This window comes from Homo sapiens, chromosome 17, assembly GCF_000001405.40.
Source record: "Homo sapiens chromosome 17, GRCh38.p14 Primary Assembly".
NCBI classification, from domain to species: Eukaryota; Metazoa; Chordata; class Mammalia; order Primates; family Hominidae; genus Homo; species Homo sapiens.
Window position 1 is genome coordinate 31,925,676 of NC_000017.11, and position 24,297 is coordinate 31,949,972.

Here is a 24,297-nt window from a genome sequence, read left to right on the forward strand (position 1 = left end):
TGACCCATGGCACCTGGTTCCAGCTTTCCTTTTCCTCTAGTATTTGGTTGTCATCTCTTACCTCCCTAACATTTCAAGGTTCCTGGGAAAATGAAATTAGTTCTTCCTCACTAAAATGTGGCAACAGGGCCGGGCACGGTGGCTCATGCCTGTAATCCCAGCACTTTGGGAGGCCAAGGCAGGTGGATTGTTTGAGATCAGGAGTTCAAGACCAGACTCACGAACATAATGAAACCCCATCTCTACTAGAAATACAAAAATTACAGGTGTGCCATGGTGGTGCGCGCCTGTAATCCAAGTTACTCAGGAAGCTGAGGCAGGAGAATCGCTTGTGCCTGGGAAGCGGAGGTTGCAGTGATCTGAGATCGCGCCACTGCAATCCAGTCCGGGCGACAGAGTGAGACTCTGTCTCAACACAAATAAATAAATAAATTAATTAATTAATTAATTAAAATGTGGCAACAATTGTTAAACACATGAGTAATTATATTAACAGCACAAACTTGGATCCCCTGGATTAAGTACTCTGGAAAAAGACAGACAGATTGAAAAAGAATATGACTACTCACATTAAAAAACCAAAGACCACAGCTGGGCAGGGTGGCAGTGCACAACAGGAGCCTGAGTGAGGCAGAAGGATCCCTTGAGCCCAGGGTTTGAGGTCAGCCTAGTCACCATACTGAGAGTCTATCTCAAAAAAAAAAAAAAAAAAAGGCTACTGGATTACAACAATTCACGTTTAGCTTACTATAGATAGAGATGGATATTTACAGAAATAAATATAGATTTGTGTGTATATATGGGTTAGTATACATACATATATCTTAGCTCTGTCTACTGGGAGAGGCTGGAAGCAATGACACCCCAGAAGCAATGAGTGTACCCAGCAACCACATCTTGGTTTCTTTTTCTCTGTTTTTTTTTTTTTTTTTTTTTTTTTTGAGATGAGCCACTGCACCAGGCCTTGGTTTCTTTTTAATTTTTTTTTTTTTTTTTTGAGATGGAGTCTTGCTCTGTCGCCCAGGCCGTAGTGCAGTGGCGCGATCTCTGCTCACTGCAAGCTCTGCCTCTCAGGTTCACGCCATTCTCCTGCCTCAGCCTCCCAAGTAGCTCGGACTACAGGCGCCCATCACCACGCCTGGCCTGACTTGAGGTCAGGAGTTAAAGACTAGCCTGACCAATGTGGTGAAACCCTGTCTCTACTAAAAATACAAAAAAAAAAAAAAAATAGCTGGACGCGGTGGCTCACACCTGTAATCCCAGCACTTTGGGAGGCTGAGGTGGGTGGATCACCTCAGGTTGGGAGTTCAAGACCAGCCTGACCAACATGGAGAAACCCCGTCTCTACTAAAAATACAAAATTAGCAGGCCATCGTGGCACATACCTGTAATCCCAGCTACTTGGGAGGCTGAGGAAGGAGAATCGCTTGAACCCCGGAGGCAGAGGTTGTGGTGAGCTGAGATTGTGCCATTGCACTCCAGTCTGGGCACCAAGAGCAAAACTCTGTCTCAAGCAAAAAAACAAAACAAAACAAAACAAAAAATAGCTGGGCGTGTTGGCAGGAGCCTGTAATTCTAGCTATTCTGGAGATTGAGGCAGGAGAATCACTTGAAGCTGGGAGGCAGAGGTTGCAGTGAGCCGAGATCATGCCACTGCCCTCCAGCCTGGGCTTCAGAGCTAGACCCTGTCTCAAAAAATATATATATATATAGTATTAGATTATACCCCAAAGTATAAAATAAATACCCATGAATCCATACTGATATAAAGTATTGAATAAATATAGAAATGGAAGAGAAGGTAAATATCCACTTCACGAAAGAATTCCAAATTATTCATACAGATACTTAGCCATCAAGGTGGTAGAGCTTAATTCACCACAACCACTATTACCACACCTTGAGTGTAGTGCTATACTTGGGGACTTGCTTCAAAAGAATATAGGAGAGAAAAAGTAGGAGAGAAAGAGTACAGCAGAGAAAAAGAGTACAGGAGAAAAAAGTATGGAGAAGGTTGAGAAATGTTGGACAGGTGATCAAGATTAACGTCATCAATAACAATCATATGGATATCAACCTGGATATGGTATGATAACAATGGTACTTCCCTTTTGTGATCTCCCTCCATAAAACCTATAAGTGAACTCCAATCATTAGAAAAACATCAGACAAGGCCGGATGTTGTGGCTCATGCCTATAATCACAGCACTTTGTGAGGCCAAAGTGGGTGGATCACCTGAGGTCAGGAGTTCGAGACCAGCCTGGCCAATATGGTGAAACTCCATCTCTACTAAAAATACAAAAAATTAGTCTGGCATGGTGGCAAGTTCCTTTAATCCCAGCTACTTGAGAGGCTGAGGCTGGAGAATTGCTTGAACCTGGGAGGCAGAGGTTGCAGTGCGCCAAGATGGTGCCATTGCACTCCAGCCAGGGCAAAAAGAGCAAAACTTCCTCTCAAAAAAAAAGAAAAAAGATAACTTTTAAATTACTATATGGTAAGTGTAATGCAAAGTTTAGTTTTTAATTTTGTTTCACTTCCTAAGTGTTGTATATTTTCTTACCAGGAACTCTTCTTGTGTTTTTTTTTTTTTTTTTTTTGAGACGGAGTCTCGCTCTGTGGCCCAGGCTGGAGTGCAGTGGCGCGATCTCCGCTCACTGCAAGCTCTGCCTCCCGGGTTCACGCCATTCTCATGCCTCGGCCTCCCAAAATGCTGGGATTACAGGCTTGAGCCACCGCCCCGGCCGAACTCTTCTATATCACTTGACATGTTTTGAGCTAAATTTGTAACCCTTTTTTGCACCCATTAGAAGATAACACCATTTGCCTTTTATTTTTGGATAATTCAGGAATAAAAAATGGATCTCAAGCTTTATAAAACTTACAATTCTAGGCTGGGCGCTGTGGCTCACACCTGTAATCCCAGCACTTTGGGAGGCCAAGGCCGGCGGATCACACGGTCAGGAGGTCAAGACCATCCTGGCCAACATGGTGAAACCCTGTCTCTACTAAAAATACAAAAATTAGCTGGGCGTGGTGGTGCGAGCCTGTAATCCCAGCTACTCGAGAGGCTGAGACAGGAGAATTGCTTGAACCCAGGAGGCAGAGATTGCAGTGAGCCGAGATTGTGCCACTGCACTTCAGCCTGGCAACAGAGTGAAACTCCGTCTCAAAAAAAAAAAATTATAATTCTATAGAAAAATAACATTTGTATAAATTTAACTTTGGTGTAAAAAAGTGAATTTAACTTTGGTATTGCACACTGGTAATTTCTGTGAGTTCTCAGAATTAAAGAACTGAGGTAACTTTAACAAGAACCTACATTAAAGCTTAGACTTTACCACTACATAATATATGCCTTTAGGAAATATGTACTTCTACACCCTAAATACGTTTTTTGCTTTCTTTTTGAGACAGTCTGGCTCTGTTGCCAAGGCTAGAGTGCAGTGGCATGATCTCCACTCACAGCAATCTCCACCTCCTGGCTTCAAGCGATTCTCCTGCCTCAGCCTCCCGAGTACCTGGGACTACAGGCACGTGCCACCAAGCCTGGCTAATTGTTTGTATTTTTAGTAGAGACGGGGTTTCACTATGTTGGCCAGGCTGGTCTCAAACTCCTGACGTTGTGATCTGCCCGTCTCGGCCTCCCAAAGTGCTGGGATTACAGGCCTAAGCCACCATACCTGGCCCTAAATATGTTGTTGTTGTTGTTGGTTTGAGAGAGAGTTTAGCTCTTGTTGCCCAGGGTGCAGTGCACTCCAGCCTGGGCAACAGAGTGAGACTCTGTCTAAAAAATAAATAAATAAATAGATAAATAAATAAATAAATAAAATCGTATTATGAAAATAAGAACAATATTTGTAATAATAACAACTAGCTGGCCGGGTGCGTTGCTCACGCCTGTGATCCCAGCACTTTGGGAGGCCGAGGCGGGTGGATCACGAGGTCAGGAGATCGAGACCATCCTGGCTAACATGGTGAAACCCTGTCTCTACTAAAAATACAAAAAAATTAGCCAGGCATGGTGGCGGGTGCCTGTAGTCCCAGCTACTCGGGAGGCTGAGGGAGGAGAATGGCGTGAACCCGAGAGGCAGAGCTTGCAGTGAGCCGAGATCGCGCCACTGCACTCACTCCAGCCTCGGTGACAGAGCGAGACTACCTCTCAAAAAAAAAAAAAAAAAAAACTAGCTAAAAATAAAGGTCTGCATCTCTTAATATGTTCTGCTTAACAGCAGTAAATTAGCAATTGCAAAATAAAGGTTAATTTATAAACTCTGAATGGAAATCCAGATATCCAGACTATAGTAGTATTATAGAAGTGATGGCTGGGCACAGTGGCTCATGCCTGAATCCCAGCACTTTGGGAGGCCGAGGCGGGCGGATCACCTGAGGTCAGGAGTTCAAGACCAGCCTGACCAATGTGGTGAAACCCCGTCTGTACTAAAAAATACAAATTTAGCCAGGCGTGGTGGCGCATGCCTGTAATCCCAGCTACTCGGGAGGCTGAGGCAGGAGAATCGCTCGAATCTGGGAGGCAGAGGTTGCAGTGAGCCAAGATCGTGCCACCGTACTCCAGCCTGGGTGACAGAGTAAGACTCGGTCTCAAAAAAAAAAAGAAGTGATGATAATACCTGACAGGTTGACCCTAATAATCATGTTGACATGATTTATGAAGTATGATGACATAATAATGCTGTTTTTTTCCCTAGAAAATGAAGAAAACATAAGTTCACACAAAGATTAGCGGTATTATCAGCAAAACTAATTTTTTTTTTCTGGGCAGGGCATGCATGAAATATTTACAGAATTATCTTTTTCATTTTCTTTTTCTTTTTTTGAGATGGAGTTTTGCTCTTGTTGCCCAGGCTGGAGTTCAATGGTGTGATCTTGGCTCACTGCAACCTCCGCCTCCCAGGTTCAAGCGATTCTCCTGCCTCAGCCTCCCCAGTAGCTGGGACTACAGGCATGCGCCATCACGCCTGGCTAATTTTGTACTTTTAGTAGAGATGGGGTTTCTCCATGTTGGTCAGGCTAGTCTTGAACTCCTGACGTGTGGTGATATGCCCACCTCGGCCTCCCAAAGTGCTGGGGTTACAGGCATGAGCCACCACACCCAGCCAGAATGATCTTTTTCATCTGCATTTCATTACCATGAAACAAAGTAATCTTCATTAGTCTTGTCATAGGTTTTTATTTTTTATTTTATTTTATTTTATTTTATTTTATTTTATTTTATTTTATTTTGAGACAGAGTCTTGCTCTGTCACCAAGGCTGGAGTGCAGTGCTGCAGTGGCGCGATCTCAGCTCACTGCAACCTCTGCCTCCCAGGTTCAGGCGATTCCTCTGCCTCAGCCTCCAGAGTAGCTGGGATTACAGGCGCCTGCCACCACTCCCAGCTAATTTTTTTTTTTTTTTTTTTTGAGATGGAGTCTCGCTCTCTCGCCCAGACTGGAGTACAGTGGTGTGATCTCGGCTCACTGCAAGCTCCGCCTCCCAGGTTCACGCCATTCTCCTGCCTCAGCCTCCCCAGTAGCTGGGACTACAGGCGCCCGCCACCATGCCCGGTTAATTTTTTTTTGTATTTTTTAATAGAGACAGGGTTTCCCCTTGTTAGCCAGGATGGTCTCAATCTCCTGACATCGCGCTCCACCCACCTCGGCCTCCCAGAGTGCTGGGATTACAGGCGTGAGCCAACACGCCTGGCCTAATTTTTTGTATTTTTAATAGAGACGGGGTTTCACCGTATTAGCCAGGATGGCCTTGATCTCCTGACCTCGTGATCTGCCTGCCTCGGCCTCGGCCTCCCAAAATGCTGGGATTACAGGCGTGAGCCACCATACCTGGCCAGGTTTGTTTTTAATGCTGTCAAATTTTGAGATGAGTATATCCCAGAATACACTATTGGTGCTATTTTAGCTGGTTATTTCTCATTATCAGACTTGGGAAGACAGCATAGTATACTGTGGTGATTTTCAAAAAAAATTCTTTTTAGCAAGTAGAACCATTATGTTCAAACAAATTATAAAACAGTCACAAGTAGAACATCTCTGATGAAAGACAAATGGGAATGCAGAGCCCACCATATTGCAGCTTCCTCTTCTCCCGGAGGGTAGCTTCCTGAAACTCTGGGGTTCCAGAAAGACAGCTTGGATACTTTAGTCATACTGGAAAACATGGGGTTTTGAGCCCCCTATAGCTGGGTTTAAACTCCAGCTCTCTCATTTGTGGGATGGTGTAATGGTGGGGGAGTTACTTAATCTCTTTGAGATTCAGTGAGAAGTATCTGAGGGGGTTGACTAATACTAATAGTAACTAACATTACTGTTTATGATTGTTGTGTGGACAGGTTGCTCAATAAATGGCAACTTACTTCACATTTGTTTAAAGTTAAATGTAAAACAACTTGTCCCACAGTCTGAAAAACAGCCATAATAGTTTTTTTTCCAGACATAGGCCTCCAGAAATTCAGGTTTAGATATTTCCACTTTGGCTCAGGTGGTTTTTTTTCTCCCCAGGTTATTAGTGTCAAGTTTCTTCCTGTCCCAGGAGTTCTAACTATGGCTTACTAACATCCTTATTATATCTTGTTAACTCTAGATAAACACACATACACAAATCAGTGGTTTATTATGAAAACCCTATAATATACAGTGAATGTTCCATGGTTCTCATGCTTTTCTTTCTTACACAAAGAAAACAAAAATGAGTAAACTTTTGGTTTTAAGAGTTGAACAGGACTGTTAAAACTGTTCCTTCAAACTACATTTTATTAGGCAGGTCATTACTATTTTTATCTTGGAGGCCTTTTTTTACTTATTATTATTTTTGAGATGGAGTCTTGCTGCATTGCCCGGGCTGGAGTGCAGTGGCACGACCTCAGCTCACTGCAACCTCTGCCTGCCGGGTTCAAGAGATTCTCCTGCCTCAGCCTCCTAAGTAGCTGGGATTACAGGCATGCACCCCCATGCCCAGCTAATTTCTGTATTTTTACTAGAGATGGGGTTTCACCATGTTGGCCAGGCTGGTCTCGAACTCAGGACCTCAGATGATCCACCTGACTTGGCCTCCCAAAGTGCTGGGATTCCAGGCATGAGCCAACACACCCAGCCTTTTACTTATTTTTATTTCTTTTTCTTTTTCTGTTTTTCCTATTCAGATAATCAATCACCAGTTGACATTCTTTTTAAAAAAAATCAAATTTGATTCTATTTCTTTAAGAACTTATCAGCTAATATAACATGTCAGTTTCCTCAAGCAAGACAAAATTTTTTTTCGGATATAGCCTTTGTTGACTTTTTTTTTTTTTTTAAGATGGCATCTCACTCTGTCGCCTAGGCTGGAGTGCAGTGGCATGATCTCGGCTCACTGCAACCTCTGCCTTTCGGGTTCAAGCGATTCTCCTGCCTCAGCCTCCCAAGTAGCCAGGACTACAGGTGCATGCCACCACACCCAGCAATTCTCATGCCTCAGCCTCCTGAGTAGCTGGGATTACAGGCACCCACCACCATGCCCAGCTAATTTTTGTATTTTTAGTAGAGACAGGGTTTCACCATATTGGCCAGGCTGGTCTCGAACTCCTGACTTTGTGATCTGCCCACCTTGGCCTCCCAAAGTGCTGAGATTACAGGTGTGAGCCACCACACCTGGCCTTGTTGACTTATTTTAATAGTCTCAGCGCTAAATTTTAAGGAAATGAGGATGAATGGAGGATAGACACTGTACAAGTAAAAGGGAGGCTTGATACCTTGGTTATTTTAAGTCAAGTGCATTCATACTGATGATTATTCATTTCAGCACATCAGAGGCAATTTTTTTTTTTTTTTGAGACGGAGTCTTGCTTGTCACCCAGGCTGCAGTGCAGTGGCGCAATCTCGGCTCACTGCAAGCTCTGCTTCCCGGGTTCACACCATTCTCCTGCCTCAGCCTCCCGAGTAGCTGGGACTACAGGTGCCCGCCACCACACCCGGCTAATTTTTTTGTATTTTTAGTAGAAACAGGGTTTCGCCATTTTATCCAGGATGGTCTCGATCTCCTGACCCCGTGATCCACCCGTCTTGGCCTCCCAAAGTGCTGGGATTACAGGCGTGAGCCACAGCGCCCAGCCTTAGAGGCAATATTTACTGATTTTTTTTTTTTTTTTTGTGAGATGGAGTCTCATTCTGTCCCCCAGGCTGGAGTGCAGTGGCGTGATCTCGGCTCACTGCAAGCTCCGCCTCCTGGGTTCACGCCATTCTCCTGCCTCAGCCTGCTGAGTAGCTGGGACTACAGGCGCCCGCCACTACACCTGGCTAATTTTTTTGTATTTTTAGTAGAGACAGGGTTTCACTGTGTTAACCAGGATGGTCTCGGTCTCCTGACCTCGTGGTCCGCCCGTCTTGGCCTCCCTAAATGCTGGGATTACAGGCTTGAGCCACCGTGCCCGGCCTTTTTTTGTTTTTTGTTTTTTGAGACGGAGTCTTTCTCTGTCACCAGGCTAGAGTGCAGTGGCACGATCCAGGCTCACTGTGACCTCTGCCTCCCGGGTTCAAGTGATTTCCCTGCCTCAGCCTCCCCAGTAGTTGGGACTACAGGCACATGCCACCATGCCCGGCTAATTTTTTGTATTTTAGTAGAGACAGGGTTTCACTGTGTTGGCCAGGATGGTCTTGATCTCCTTACCTTGTGTTCCAACTTAGCCTCCCAAAGTGCTGGGATTACAGGCGTGAGCCACCGCACCCAGCCTACTGATCTTTCTTGACTTAGACATGACATATGCTACAACTTTTTTTTTTTTTTTTTTGAGACGGAGTCTCACTCTGTCGCCAGGCTGGAGTGCAGTGGCATGATCTCAGCTCACTGCAACCTCCGCCTCCCGGGTTCAAGCAATTCTCCTGCCTCAGCCTCCCGAGTAGCTGGGACTACAGGCAAGCACCACCACGCCCAGCTAATTTTTGTATTTTTAGTAGAGATGGGGTTTCACCATGTTGGCCAGAATGGTCTCAATCTCTTGAACTCGTGATCCGCCCGCCTCAGCCTCCCAAAGTGCTGGGATTACAGGTGTGAGCCACCGTGCCCGGCCTGACATATCCTACATCTTTTATCTTTAAAACTCTTGGCAAGGTGTGGGGCTCACTTCTGTAAGCCCCACATTTTCGGAGGCCAAGGCTGGTCGACCACAAGGTCTGGAGATCCTGACCATCCAGGCTAACAAGGTGAAACCCCATCTCTACTAAAAATACAAAAAATTAGCCAGGCATAGTGGCATGCACCTGTAATCCCAGCTACTTGGGAGGCTAAGGCAGGAGAATCACTTGAACCCGGGAGGCTGAGGTTGCGGTGAGCCGAGATTGTGCCACTGCACTCTAGCCTGAGCCACAGAGTGAGGCTCCATCTCAAAACAACAACAACAACAATAACAACAAACAAAACTCTTTATTTTTCTGGCATGATAGTGAAGCATGAGGGCTCCAGAGACACTGCCTGGGTTAAAAATCCCGGTTTGTGCAAGCTTCTTAACAAGTCTTGCTGTTATTTCCTCATCTATGAAATGGAGATATTAATAAATGTCTACCTCAGAGGATTGGTGTGAGAATTGAATGTTAAGCTTGTAAAAACTTAAAGTATTGCCTGGCACATAGTAAGCACTCAGTCATTATTATCCTAATTTATATTTGTGCGCTGGTGTCCAACTTTATTCATCAAGACTCATTGGATGAATCCTGATTCTATGCCAGGCACAGTGATAGACACCTCAGCTACCAAAGCATCCATCATCCGTGCCCCAAGAGCTTAACAGTAAAGTAGAAAGAAAAAGACTTGCTGCTATAACACAAAGGTTCTTAACTTGAACAGGCTTCAGGAAGTCTGAGAACTTGAATGACAAAAAATATATATATTTATTTACACTAACCTCTAGCTAGAATTTAGCATCTCCTTCAACTACTAATAGGTGACAAATCATAGTAGTGTTAGCAGTGCCTGTGGCTTTGTTACCAAGAGAACTTACTGGTATTTCTCTCGGGAGGCCAAGGTTGCAGTGAGCCAAGATCGCGCCCTTGCACTCCAGCCTGGGTGACAGAGCGAGAATCCGTCTCAAAAAAAAAAAAGACTACAGAGGATAGTGTAACAAACAAGAGGGGATTCTGAACTTTTTGTCTGAATATAAAATATAGCTTGTCCTTAACAACAGGCATTCCTTATTTCAGGTAAGAAGGTATACCTAATTTCAGATGTGTTCCTGAAATGCCAAATACTATATACGTCATTTGCAGAGATCACTTTCTTAAGTAGCAAAGGCTTTGATAAAACCTGTACTTTAGGTATTTAATCATTACAAAGATAACTAGTTTTGTAAACAACTTGAATAACCATTCCAGAGACACTTGTTTTGTAAACAGTGTTTTGCAGTTAACTATAGAGAACCCAAGTAGACATTTAAAAAATGCTGTTTAGAGTATGAAATGGTTCTATGTTTATAGGTTGGGATTTTTGAAATTTTAACGTAATATAAAAATTGGAAGAACATCCTTAGAGATCATCTTGTCCAACCTGAAATTCAAATCATTAGCTCAACTCCAAACCAATCTGTGCCAGAAGACTGAAATGGGCCTATGTGTCTATCGTTCAAAGCAAGACCTGGCCAGGCGCGGTGGCTCACGCCTGTAATCCCAGCACTTTGGGAAGCCGAGGCAGGTGGATCACGAGGTCAGGAGATCGAGACCAGCCTGGCCAAAATGGTGAAACCCTGTCTCTACTAAAAACACAAAAAATTAGCCAGGCGTGGTGGCGAGCGCCTGTAATCCCAGCTACTCTGGAGGCTGAGGCAGGAGAATCGCTTCAACCCGGGAGGCGCAGGTTGTAGGGAGACGAAGTCGCGCCACTGGCACTCCAGCCTGGGCGACAGAGGGAGGCTCCGTCTCAAAAAAAAAAAAAAGCAAGACTCGCAAAACACCGGATTCCTTCTCAGCTTTCTGAGCTGAAAAGGTATAGATCCTAAAGAAGAGAAGAGTGTATGTAAGTACTTCTCAACCAGTTTACCTCTCTGACCACTCTTACGGTGTTTGGGGGCAACAAACTAAGGATCTAGACTCGCTAAACCGCTCGCTGGGTCCTTCTCTCCCCACAATGCACCGGGGCCAGCAGGAAGGCCGCTCCGACCCCTAATTTTCCCGCGAATTCAGTTCAAAGAGGCGGCCGGGCCCGCGATCGGCAGCGCGCACGGGCCAACCAAGCCGCGCCTCCGCGAGAAGCGCCTCCGCGTGACTGACGGGGGAATCCGCGGGCCAACGGGCTGGGCGGCCCGGCGGTGCGCGCTCCCGCCGGCCAATCAGAGCGCCGGGCGGGGGAAGTGGGCGGAGCGAGGCCAGGGTAGGGTGAGCGGCCTCCGAAGCGGAGCGGGGCTCTGAGGAGACACTTTTTTTTTCCTCCCTCCTTCCCTCCTCTCCTCCTCCCTTCCCTTCCCCTCTCCTCCCCTCTCTCCTCCTTCCCCCCTCGGTCCGCCGGAGCCTGCTGGGGCGAGCGGTTGGTATTGCAGGCGCTTGCTCTCCGGGGCCGCCCGGCGGGTAGCTGGCGGGGGGAGGAGGCAGGAACCGCGATGGCGCCTCAGAAGCACGGCGGTGGGGGAGGGGGCGGCTCGGGGCCCAGCGCGGGGTCCGGGGGAGGCGGCTTCGGGGGTTCGGCGGCGGTGGCGGCGGCGACGGCTTCGGGCGGCAAATCCGGCGGCGGGAGCTGTGGAGGGGGTGGCAGTTACTCGGCCTCCTCCTCCTCCTCCGCGGCGGCAGCGGCGGGGGCTGCGGTGTTACCGGTGAAGAAGCCGAAAATGGAGCACGTCCAGGCTGACCACGAGCTTTTCCTCCAGGCCTTTGAGAGTGAGTGTGTGCGAGGCTTTGAGGGCAGGAAGACCCACTCTGCCAACACCGGGGATGGGACACTCTGCTGGGCCCCCTTCCTCCTCGGGAGTCCACTTGTGTGGTAGTGGAGGGAGGAATTGAGGGGATGTCCCCCTTTCGGAGATTACGTCTCCAGGGGATCCGGAGTCCAGGGCCTTGGGAGAGCTGGAAAAGAGGGTCCGGGCGGGTTCTTGACTCCCCCAAGATTGACGCAAGAGGCTCGGGACTGGGGCCCCACGTTCAGAGCAGGCGGCTTTTAGATGAGGAGGTAGCAGTTGAACTGAGCCGCAGTCACATCCCGAGACTGGTTCTTGTTTTCTTTCATGCCTTTCGGACTCTAGAAATACAGGGGTTTCGGTTGTAGCTTTTGAGGGGCAAAATGAAGCCTGTGAAGGGATGAGTGCAGTGGAACCGAAGAAAGTGTCCTTAGTCTGAAATGCCTTCGCGCTAACTTGGTGCTGCAGGTTCCTATGGCACCTTTGGATGCTTAAAACCCTTCAAATCTATCCACCCATTTTGTGGATATGTAAACTGAGCCAGAGAGTGGTCAAGCATCTTCTCTGGAGACGACCCCGGAATTCTGCTTTTTCTACCTGGCTTACAGAACATTTTCTTGCGTCAATTTCTGTTTCTAAGTTCTGTCTGGAAGGTGAAACTGACTTATTTGGAAAGGAGAGCAAGGTGTCTGGAAACAAACAATAGAATTTATTAAAAACATCGTGACTATGAATAATCCTGATTGTTCTTTAAGGAATGTTATATCCTGATTGGTTCCCTTTTTTGCTTTTGTGTGTTATAATTTGGGTGATCTTTAATAGCTAAATAATCTTACAGAAACTTGAATAAACTTGGCTCTACCGCCCAGTGTCCTTATTTACAGTTTCACTGTGGCATATGTTAAGGGCATGGTATCAGCTGTGCTTAGAAAGACGTATTACGTTGTTTAATACCCTTCCTTCATTCTCTCTCATTAGTGCTTCATGAAATTCTAATTGGAACTTAATAGAAGGAATTTCAGTTTTTATGGAAACGAATATTGAACCTGCTTCAGAGAGATTCACATTATTCACGTATTTCTTAGTATACTTTGAAATATCTAGAGAGGCTTTAATTGGAAATAGGATGTAGAACTGAAGGGCAGTGGTGACAATAATGATACTTGTTTGTACCCCTTCTAAAGTATCTCATCTCCCTTTAGTTAATTTAAAATAAAACCAATTGAAGATTTAGGTGGAAATTTTAAAAGTTCTTTCTGAATGTTAAGACACATCCTCCAAGAAAGTTTTAACTATTTGCGTTCTGATGAGTCGACCTCAGGGAAGTCAAGTGTCATTAAGAGCTAGATCTGGTCATAAAACAACTCGAAGTTGTTTACTGGAAAGTTTAAATACTTGAATGTAATTATTCACATAGTTATTTCTATTTGGTTTATTCTGATACTGCTGTATAATGACCTAACGTGACACTAATAGGTCATTAATGTAACTGATATAATAGTATATGTATTTTTCATCGACTTAAGTCCTGTATAACAAATTACATTTTAACTAATTTGAAATTTAATTCAACTCATTTTAAGCGTTAGAAAGACTGTTTTGTGAACCTGTCAATTGTGTAAAAAATGTATTGAGGTAATATTTATATTGAACAAAATAGATACAACTTTAAATTATAATTAGGAATATTTATTGAGAATTTTTGCTGCAGTTTGTGTCCGAGATTCATTTCAATATTGACTGACTTTTGAGTGCAGTGGATCCCACCTGTAATCCTAGCTACTCTGGAGGCTGAGGCAGGAGGATCTGTTGAGCCCACGAGTTTGAGACCAGCCTGGGCAACATATCAAGACCCCTTTTCAAAAAAAGAAAAAAAAAATCTTGACTGACTTTCATCATACCTGTATTAGGAATGTCTGGATCTGTATTAGGATGTCATCATATCTGTATTAGGATGTATTAGGATTCTGTTTTGGCTGACTACAATTTTTTTTTTTTTTTTGAGACGAAGTTTCGCTCTTTATTGCCCAGGCTGGAGTACAATGACGCGATCTCGGCTCACGGCAGCCTCCGCCTCCCAGGTTCAAGTGATTCTCCTGCCTCAGCCTCCCAAGTAGCTGGGATTACAGGCATGCGCCGCCCCTATGCCTGGCTGTTTTTGTATATTTGGTGGAGACAGGGTTTCTCCATGTTGGTCAGGCTGGTCTCGAACTCCCGACCTTAGGTGATCTGCCCACCTTGGCCTCCCAAAGTGCTGGGAATACAGGCATGAGCCACTGCGCCTGGCCGGCTGACTACAGATTTTTTAAGTGACCATTTAAAAAGTGAAATTTTCATCTTGTTTGGCATCAATCAATAGTTCTTTTGTTGACTCCAGCTGCCTATTACAGCTGCTTTTTGGAAGAAAATCGGTAATAAATAGTTTAAATTAGCTAAGTTAAATGAGTACAACTACTTCTCTTGAGTTCTGCTCGGTAACAATAACTATCTTAGAAAGGCTTAAGAAAAATATTGTAGAGAACCTTCAGTATAAAAAGCATAGATGAACTTTGTGAATGTATGCCATTGATTGAATACCTTTTGATCTTACTGTGCATACTTTCTTGATGTAAATATTTAGTGCGATATAAATAGTGCGTGATTTCCATAGCAGATGATAAGTTTATATTGATTATAACATGGTCTCGGTTGATATTTTTCTGACAAGTAAGTTTAGATCATGTTTGGATTTTGTTTCCTATTACCTAGAGCCAACACAGATCTATAGATTTCTTCGAACTCGGAATCTCATAGCAGTAAGTAGTCAACAAAATTCATCAATATTATTTCTCTCTTATAACTGCATCTGTATTCAATTTTAACATTTTTAAAACTCTTTTTGTAGCCAATATTTTTGCACAGAACTCTTACTTACATGTCTCATCGAAACTCCAGAACAAACATCAAAAGGTACATTTTATGAATCTTATTTCAAGCTGATCAAACCATGTTAGTTTTATTTTAAAGTACTATTTCTCAAAATTAAAAAAAAAAACGAACAAAAATAAGTACTATTTCTAACTAAAGATTTAAGATGAAAACTGAAGTGAGAGAGTGACTGGTTGAATTGGTTGCACAGTGGTTTTCTATAGTATAATCTTTGTAAGTCTCAGGTTGTTATTAGCTTTTTTTTTTTATCCTCTAATAGAAATGAGGCTGGGTGTGGTGGCTCATACCTATAATCCCAGCACTTTGGGAGGCCAAGTTGGGCGGATCACTTGAGGTCAGGAGTTCGAGACCAGTTTGGCCAACATGGGAAAACCCTGTATCTACTAAAACAAAAATTAGCTGGGCGTGGTGGTGTGTGCCTGTAATCCCAGTTACTTGCGAGGCTGAGGCAGGAGAATTGCTTGAGCCCGGGAGGTGGAGGTTGCAGTGAGCCGAGATTGCGCCGTTGCACTCCAGCCTGGGCAACAGAGCGAGACTCTACCTCAAAGAAAAAAAAAACAAAACTGATTTTAGTAGTGAAGTGAATAAAGTGATTTTACTGATTATATTTTTACTCTGTGCCATGGGTTATTTCTCTTTTTTTGTTTGTTTGTTTTTTTTTGAGACAGAGTGTCTGTCCAGGTTGGAGTGCAGTGGCGTGATCTCAGCTCACTGCAAGCTCCGCCTCCTGGGTTCATGCCATTCTCCTGCCTCAGCCTCCTTATTTTTTTTTTTATTGTTGTTGTTGTTTTGTTTTTGGTGTTTTTTTTGAGAGAAGTCTCACTCTTGTCCCCCACGCTGGAGTGTAATGGTGCAATCTCGGCTCACTGCGATCTCTGCCTCCTGGGTTTAAACGATTCTCCTGCCTCAGCTTCCCAAGTAGCTGGGGTTACAGGCGCCTGCCACCACAGCTGGCTAAGTTTTGTATTTTTAGTAGAGACAAGGTTTCCCCATGTTGGCCAGGCTGGTCTCGAACTCCTGACCTCAGGTGATCCACCCGCCTCGGCCTCCTAAAGTGCTAGGATTACAGGCATGAGCCACCGTGCCTGGCCTTTTTTTTTTTGAAACGGAGTCTCGCTCTGTCTCCCAGGCTGGAGTGCAGTGGCGCAACCTCGGCTCACTGCAACCTCTGCCTCCCAGATTCAAGAGATTCTCCTCCTTCAGCCTCCTTAGTAGCTTGGACTATAGGCGCGTGCCACCATGCTCGGCTAATTTTTTGTATTTTTGGTAGAGATGGGGTTTCTCTGTGTTAGCCAGGATGGTCTCGATCTCCTGACGTCAGGATCCGCCTGCCTCGGCCTCCCAAAGTGCTGGCATTACAGGAGTGAGCCACCATGCCCAGCCTGACCTTCTTTTTCTTTTTTTGAGATGGAGTTTCGCTCTTGTCTCCCAGGCTGGAGTGCAGTGGTGCGATATCGGCTCACTGCAACCTCCGCTTCCCGGGTTCAGGCAATTCTCCTGCCTCAGCCTCCCGAGTAGCTGGAATTACAGGCTCCCGCCACCACACCCAGCTGATTTTTTGTATTTTTAGTAGAGATGGGGTTTCACTATGTTGGCCAAGCTGGTCTCAAACTCCTGACTTCAAGATCTTCCCGCCTTGGCCTCCCAAAGTGCTGAGATGACAGGCGTGAGCCACTGCGCCCGGCCTCCGCTGGTTATTTTCAAGTTTGATAGAAGTTGAGGATTTAAATATTTACTAAAGGGCTCAGGGTAACTATATTTGTTACGTAAAATTTAAGTTAATTTTTGATTATTATGTGTAATTTGAATTAGGTCCTGTAATGGTGGGTTCAGAAAGTCTCATTTTATATCTTTGGTTTTTTTTTTGTTTTGTTTTTATTTTTTTTTGAGACAGAGTTTCACTCTTGTTGCCCAGGCTGGAGTGCAATGGCGCAATCTTGGCTCACTGCAACCTCCACCTCGCGGGTTCAAGGGATTATCCTGTCTCAGCTTCCCAGGTAGCTGAGATTACAGGTGCCCACCACCACGCCTGGCTAATTTTTTGTATTTTTCATGAAGTTGGGGTTTTACCATTTTGGCCTGGCTGGTCTTGAACTCCTGACCTCAGGTGATCCACTCACCGTGGCCTCCTGAAGTGCTGGGATTACAGACCTGAGCCACAGCGCCCGGCCTTGGTGGTGGTCTTATTGAAGGGGAAACACTTTTGAAATCAATAGGATGAAGGTTTTTTAAAAACAATGAAGTCTTAAATCATTAGATTTTAAAGTGGGGTCTGGAGGTGGAAGACAGCTTATTTTTGCTGTGTAACATTTAGTACTTAACCATACATAATTATCAATGCAAGTTTTTTGTCCTAGGTGCAAGATTATATTTATTTGAGAGTATCAGGTGAACAAGTTTACATTTAAAGGCGAGAATTGTGTTAAGCATTTGGTATTGTCATTATAGTTTTAGTAAAACCATCAAGTTATCTCGATAGAGTTTGAAACTAAGCTCTTTGGTGGACTGCTACTGTTTATTAAGTAGGTATCACATTTCTATAGCAAGACATAGTTGAGTTGTGTAAATCTTGTATTTTGAAGGATTGAATTGTGAAAATTATTTGTCTTTTGGCAATCTTTCTGAATAGAGAGCGTGCATGAGCAAGTTTGCATTGCAGTTAATAGGTGAAAATTGCTGAGCACCTAAGTAACTAAAAAGGAGGTGATGAATTAGGTTACAGAATTAGTTTTGTCCACCCTTTACCTGTCTACTCCATTATTTGATTTTTGCCAGCATTCAGCATGCTTTTTCTGTAAAGGACCAGTAAATAGTAATTATTTTAGGCTTTGCGGCCAGGGTGCAAAATTGAGGATATTATGTAGGTACTTAATTTTAAAAGAAAGAAAAAATTTACAGTTTTTTAAAATTTCAGTCCGAAATGTCAATCTGTAAATTTTTTGTTGATTAAAATACAACAATATAAGATAGAACATTTTGTAATACAGGCCTACAAATGAGAAATGAGAATTTTATTTTTGTGAGGGTAGGGGAGATAACATTTAGCTGAATTGGGGTTCAGAGTTAGTGTTTTCTGTAATCAAATCGATTGCTAATGTTTATCTGTAAAAACCGTTCTTACCTTCCGGGCTGTACAAAAACAGGCGATAGGCCAGATTTGACCATGGTCCATAGTTTCCCCACCCTTGATTTATTCTATAAAACTAGTAGAATTCGACTAACTGTTTTGTTTCATCAAAGCTTTTTTTTTTTTGAGACAGAGTCTTGCTCTGTCGTCTAGGCTGGAGTGCCGTGGCGCAATTTCGGCTCACTGCAGTCTTCGCCTCCCAAGTTCAAGCAATTCTGCCTCAGCCTCCTGAGTAGCTGGGATTACAGGCGTGTGGCACTACACCCAGCTAATTTTTGTATTTTTAGTAGAGACAGGGTTTCACCATGTTGGTCAGGCTGGTCTCAAACTCCTGACCTCATGATCCGCCTGCCTTGGCCTCCCAAAGTGCTGGGATTACAGTCGTGAGCCACCGTGCCTGGCCATCAAAGCATTTTTAATATAGAAGGTCAGTTGAGTTGCTGCCTAGGATGCAACCTGATCTTAATTTACAAAGTAATTAAATTATTATAAAATAAGTTTGCATTCATAGATTAAAAAGTACACATTTATTTTATTATTATTATTTTTTTTTGAGATGGAGTTTCGCTCTTGTTGCCCAGGCTGGAGTGCAATGGTGCAATCTTGGCTCACTGCCACTTCCACCTCCTGGGTTCAAGTGATTCTCCTGCCTCAGCCTCCCGAGTAGCTGGGATTACAGGCATGCGCCACCATGCCTGGCTCATTTTGTATTTTTAGGAGAGATGGGGTTTCTCCATGTTGGTCAGGCTGGTCTCGAACTCCCGACCTCAGGTGATCTGCCCACCTCGGACTCCCAAAGTGCTGGGATTACAGGTGTGAAACACCACGTCCTGCTAAAAAGTACACATTTAAAATCTAAGTTCCATTTTCCCGTCATGTTTATTAATTTGTCCCATTGCAGGATATGTTTCTGTTGTCCGCATGGGTAGAGATAATTTTAAAAGCTTGGTTAAGTAAGAACTGATTTTCTTAATTATTGCCCTTTAGGTTAAAAAAAAAAAGTCTGGGGAATTTTTAAGCAATCTGCCAGCCAAGAAGCAAATTTAAGTCCCACCTAGTTTAGTTCCTACAGAAATGGGTAGGAATAGGCTAGGCATGGTGTTTCAGACCTGTAATTTCAGCATTTCGGGAGACTGAGTTAGGAGGATTGCTTGTGTAACATTTAGTACTTAACCTTACGTAATTATGAATGCAAGTTTTTTGTCCTGGGTGCAAGATTATATTTATTTGAGCGTATCAAGTGAACAAGTTTACATTTAAAGGCGAGAGTTATAGGTCAGCCCTGGCAACATAGTGAGACCCTATATCTACAAAAATTTTAAAAAATTAGCTGGGCGTGGTGGCTCATGACTATAGTCCCAAATACTCAGGAGGCTGAGGCAGGAGGATCACCTGAGCCCAGAAGTTCGAAGGTTGCTATGAATGTGCCGGTGCACTCTAGCCTGGGCAGTAGAGGGAGATGGTGTCTCAAAAAAAAAAAAAAAAAAAAAAAGTATGGGAATCATTTAATCATCTTGTTAGATGCCTGATCTTATTACTTATTAGGACTAATTATTAAGAAATTAAAGCACAACTCATTTGCTGTTGTCTTCAGCGTAGTTGGTGACTTTGGAAGGTGGCAGATTTAGCCCAGTGATTGTCGTTTCTCAAAATGTTTTCAGAACTCGTTTTTTACTATTACAACAACATAATATCCATTGTTGGAATAAGCATATCACTCCCTTTAAAGTCATACTCTCAGTCGTGATATTAATTCTGGTATATTTATTAAAGTCAGCTTGTGCTTTACTCTTTCTAGAAGTATTCAACTTCTATAGGCTAACACTGCCCCAACAAAGTAAAAATATAGGTCACGAGAAGGGCATCTTTTATTGAATCCATTTTGCTAGATTTCGTGTGAGCTGTTTCTGAAGTCTCCCAAGAAAATTTTCTGAAATTTCTTGAATTTTTAAATATGCTCCTTTTCGATGACCTTTTGATAATTATTTCCTTCTTTAAATCTGACCTACAGTAACATTACCTTTCTAAAGAACAGAAATCCTTGGTGTTGGGGGAGGAGCAGCTTTTATATAGTTGCTTATGAGGTTGGTTTTGTTTTTTTCCTAAGGAAGGCTGGGTTGCTTTTGTGATCTTATCTATTTCAAATGGTTAATCAATTCTATTCACTTCTCCTGTATACAGCTTCATAAAGGTAGAAGAGATGAACCTTAGAACGTACAGTCTTTTTCTGCAGACAGAATTTCTTAATCATTACATAAACATTATTCGGAAAAGTTTTCAGTAGTTTCATGGCCCTCCTCAATAGTAACTTTCAGTATTTATACTGAATAGCTCTTTGCAACTAGCCTAAAAGAGTCCTTTATTTTTGTTCTTTTTTCTCTCTTATCTGTGGAGATTGAAAATATATTGCCATCCTTCAGAAAGCGCTTCTTACTATACTCTATTGGATGAAACTTTAATATTGAAGTTTTCAGTAACTCTAAAGGTAAAGAGAGAAGCTTTTTTTCCCTTAAGATCTTTACTATGGAGGCTCTTCTCATTCACTTGAAATATAGATTGTATCAATTCTGCTCTAATATCAGTAGTTTACTATATTTACATTAACATTTCTCTACTGATAATTTTTACAGTAGTTGAATACAATAAATAGCTCTTTTTTGGCCAGGCATGGTGGCTCACACCTTTAATCCTAGCACTTTGGGAGACAGGGGTGGATAGATCACCTGAGGTGAGGAGTTCAAGACCAGCCTGACCAACATGGTGAAACCCTGTCTCTACAAAATGCAAAAATTAGCCAGGCGTGGTGGTGCACACCTGTAGTCCCAGCTACTCGGGAGGCTGAGGCAGGAGAATTGCCTGAACCCGGGAGGTGGAGGTTGCAGTGAGCCGAGATCACGTCATTGTACTCCAGCCTGGGCAACAAGAGTGACACTCCCATCTCAAAAACAAAACAAACAAAAACAAACAAACACAAAACTCTCTTTGAGGAATGAGATTATTCGTAATTTTTGGTGTCTGCATTCAAGCATTATAAAGTAATAAATTGATGTGGAGTACATTTGGCTTTTCAAGTCCTAAAGAGGAAGGGACTATATGAGTATAAAGAGAAACATTTTTTCTAATTAAATTATATATGGGTATAGATTTTTAGACTCTTATCTCTAGAACATGTCATAGACCACCTTAAGAACTAAGATGAGGCTTGTTTTTACAATCCATTCATTCTTTAATTGCTTTGAGAAGTTATACTTAAGTTTCTATTTTTTGGGAAATAGCTTTTTTCTCTTAAACTTGTCAAGTTAAAAGGTAGTAGTTTTATTACGATTTGATGGATCATTCCCTAACTTCAAAATTTTTTCATGATGTCAACAACTGTCTCTTTAATATGACATATCATTGAGCTTTAGGCTTTGCTGATAATCTTTGAGGATACCTTGTGAACTTCAAATATATTTTATAGAATATTTCTTTTTTTATGTGATGGTGCTAGTACATATTTGTTGTGTTGCTTAGTAGACGTGTTAAGTGTTTCAGAATACACATAATTTATATTTGTTTGGCTTAATTCAACAGATACTTGAATACCTACCAAGTATAAGGCACTATGCCAGCACTGCATAGCTTTCCTTGAAGAAGAGCAATTACTGCCCTTCAGGAATATATAATCTAGTAGGAGAAATAAAATATTTACATGAGTTTTACGTGTAGGAAACTGAATGAAAAGTAAGTGTCAAAATAAATATAAACCAAGTACCATGGGTAAGGAGAAATCACTGGTTTGGGAATAATTGGGTAAAAGGTTTAATGAAAACAAGTTAGCGTTTTAGATGGGGCTTGAAGGCTCGTGTGCTGTATTATACACCGTCTCCATAGTATTCATTGTTATGGCTAATCATCCATAATTTATCTTACTAAAAATAATCAAAATCTGGTTTCCATCTTGCCTATTAGAGTGACAATAAAGTATAATTTGTTTCTTTTTCCCAGTTGAGAAGTGATTATTTTGTTTATCTGTTTCTTCCAGGAAAACATTTAAAGTTGATGATATGTTATCAAAAGTAGAGAAAATGAAAGGAGAGCAAGAATCTCATAGGTAAGATAATCTATCAGTTTACATTAAGTGATATACTTTAGGAAAGAGGAAAAATTACAGTGATCATTTTCCTAGTGATCACCTTGATATAAGGAGTTAGAAGGAATCTTAGAGGTCAGTTTGGTCCAAACTCACACACAAGTCAGAAATTAATTTCTGTAGCATTCCTGGCAGAGAATACTTAAGCTGTGGCTTGAATACCTCCAGTGTAGTTGTATTTATTATTGTTTATCTTTATTACCAGTTTCTTCCATTTTGAGTGAAACCTCTGACTTCTGCCGTTGGTCTTAACTCTACCACCTCATTTAAAGAGGGATACTCACATTTATAGTATATGTGCTAGGTACTGTGGCAGGGACTTCACAATATCACGTATCTTGTAAGTTATTCTCAAATATGAGAGGGGTTCTCTTTTTTTTCCATCTTTTTCTTCTCATTTAAATCTATCAGGCAACATATTCATAACTTTTATTTCATATTTGAAATATGTTTCTCACATAGTTTCAGAAACTTGAACATTTGGACAGAATCTACTTGTTGTACATTATCAAATATATACCTAGAACGAATCCCTAAATGTTCTGACTAGTCTGATATCTGTCTACTCTAGATAGTATGCTTCTATTTATTTTTTGACACGTAAACTTTATTTTTTGATATTTTTGATAGAAAATTGAATATTCTAAGGAGAAACAGCAGCTTGGGTGGTGTTTGTTCATTCATTAACTCCTTTAGAGAGTGCAGAACTAAAAATATTAGATTCTTGAAAAAATAGAGTTGGAAAATTTGTCACAATGCATTTTTCTTTTCCTCCTAGTTTTAAATCACAGCTTACGAATTTAGATAGGATATACACTTAATGATGCATCATTTATGCATCTCATTGTTTTCCCATTGTTCTGTTGACTGGTAAAAGACTTCCTTTTTTTCAGTTTGGCTTCCTTCTATTTTAAGTTTGGCTTTGGAATTAAGTGATTTTTTTACTTGGATTATAAAATGATATTTTTTATTTTATATCCTGCAATCTTGTGGGGTTGAAGTATAATTTATATTTCCATGTCTAGGCAATCCTGACTTGTAAATAAACTGTGATAGTCCATTCTAGAAGCTGAGATCCTGAATTGTTACCTGTTATATCTGTTAATGCCCAGGGAGACCCTATAAGATAGAACTGAGAATATTCGCAGTGCACGCACATTTTTCTTTACTAGAATTTATATTCCAGATTCTTGTCTGGTCACCCACCCTAGACAGAGCTCTTGGGATCCTCAGGGCCTTTTTTACTTAAAATACAGACTGTAGTAAGATCCTGGTCTGACCTCCCTGCTTCTTTTCTCCTGACCACATTAAAAGTTTGCCCTATAGTCATTTCAGGGTTCAAGTGAGAAGGAAGCATGAACCAACAACAGGAACACTGGACCCTTCTCTTCATCTTCCTCATCAAGGTTTACCTTCACTACTAAACCCTATTACTATCTCATTGTGACATTGGGTTTGAAATTACAGAGCTTCCCTAAGTAAGAGTGTGTGGGAGATACATACTGTTCAATTCTCTCTGAACAATTGTTTCCCCAGTAATTTTGTTCCTTTTGACCTGGTGGGTTCAATAGCAACTCAAACATTAAAATCAGAGGGTTACATAAATTCCTGCTGGTAGTTTTGGAAGAGAATTTTTTGAGTCTTTAGGGTCTAGCTAGGACCAGTGAGTTGGCCATTTAAGCCTCTCAAGATTCTTATGAATGTCTCAGTATTGCTCCCAGAGGCACTAAGATGAATTAAGAAAGTGTGTCATTTTAAATTTACTGCTAAGACCCTACATTATTAACTTTCTTTAATCTATTTCTTTTTTTTTGAGATGGAGTCATGCAGTGGTGCTATCTCAGCTCACTGCAACTGCCACCTCCTGGATTCAAGCAATTATCCTGCCTCAGCCTCCCAATTATCTAGGATTACAGGCACCTGCCACCACACCCAGCCCCCCCCCCCCCCCCTTTTTTTTTTTTTTTTTTTTTTTTTTTTTGAGACCAAGTCTCCCTCTTGCTGAGGCTGGAGTGCAGTGGCGCGATCTTGGCTCTACAGCCTCCACCTCCCGGGCTCAAGCAATTCACCTGTCTCAGCCTCCTGAATAGCTGGGAATACAGACGTGCACCACCACACCCAGCTGATTTTGTATTTTTAGTAGAAACAGAGTTTCACCATGTTGGCCAGGCTGGTCTTGAACTCCTGAGCTCAAGTGATCTGCCTGCCTTGGCCTCCTGAAGTGCTGGGATTACAGGTGGGAGCCACC

General features: G+C 42.6%; 1 protein-coding gene across 5 annotated transcripts in view, besides 3 other annotated features; it reads left to right on the forward strand.

Moving 5' to 3' along the window:
• Nucleotides 11,223-11,682: a silencer, noted in NCBI's record as "silent region_8415". NCBI's record gives its function as "represses an Ori minimal core promoter by ATAC-STARR-seq in GM12878 lymphoblastoid cells {active_cell/tissue: GM12878}" and the evidence as "EXISTENCE:reporter gene assay evidence [ECO:0000049][PMID:35858748]".
• Nucleotides 11,223-12,008: a biological region, named in NCBI's record as "H3K27ac hESC enhancer GRCh37_chr17:30264117-30264702".
• Nucleotides 11,332-24,297, forward strand: part of SUZ12 (SUZ12 polycomb repressive complex 2 subunit) — a 64,032-nt gene continuing 51,066 nt past the window's right edge. For 2 of the 5 annotated variants that reach the window (NM_015355.4, XM_047435707.1), the window contains exons 1-4: nt 11,332-11,845; nt 14,611-14,657; nt 14,747-14,811; nt 21,942-22,010. In NM_015355.4, coding sequence (NP_056170.2) covers nt 11,572-11,845; nt 14,611-14,657; nt 14,747-14,811; nt 21,942-22,010 — 455 coding nt within the window. In that variant the 5' untranslated portion in view covers nt 11,332-11,571. Of the gene's footprint in view, nt 11,846-14,578; nt 14,658-14,746; nt 14,812-21,941; nt 22,011-24,297 lie in introns of all 5 variants that reach the window. The other 3 variants (XM_047435704.1, NM_001321207.2, XM_006721794.4) reach the window with 3 other exon arrangements.
• Nucleotides 11,423-12,008: an enhancer, noted in NCBI's record as "H3K27ac hESC enhancer chr17:30264117-30264702 (GRCh37/hg19 assembly coordinates)". NCBI's record gives its function as "activates a minimal SCP1, AML or CMV promoter by ChIP-STARR-seq in primed H9 embryonic stem cells {active_cell/tissue: H9 hESC(primed)}" and the evidence as "EXISTENCE:reporter gene assay evidence [ECO:0000049][PMID:30033119]".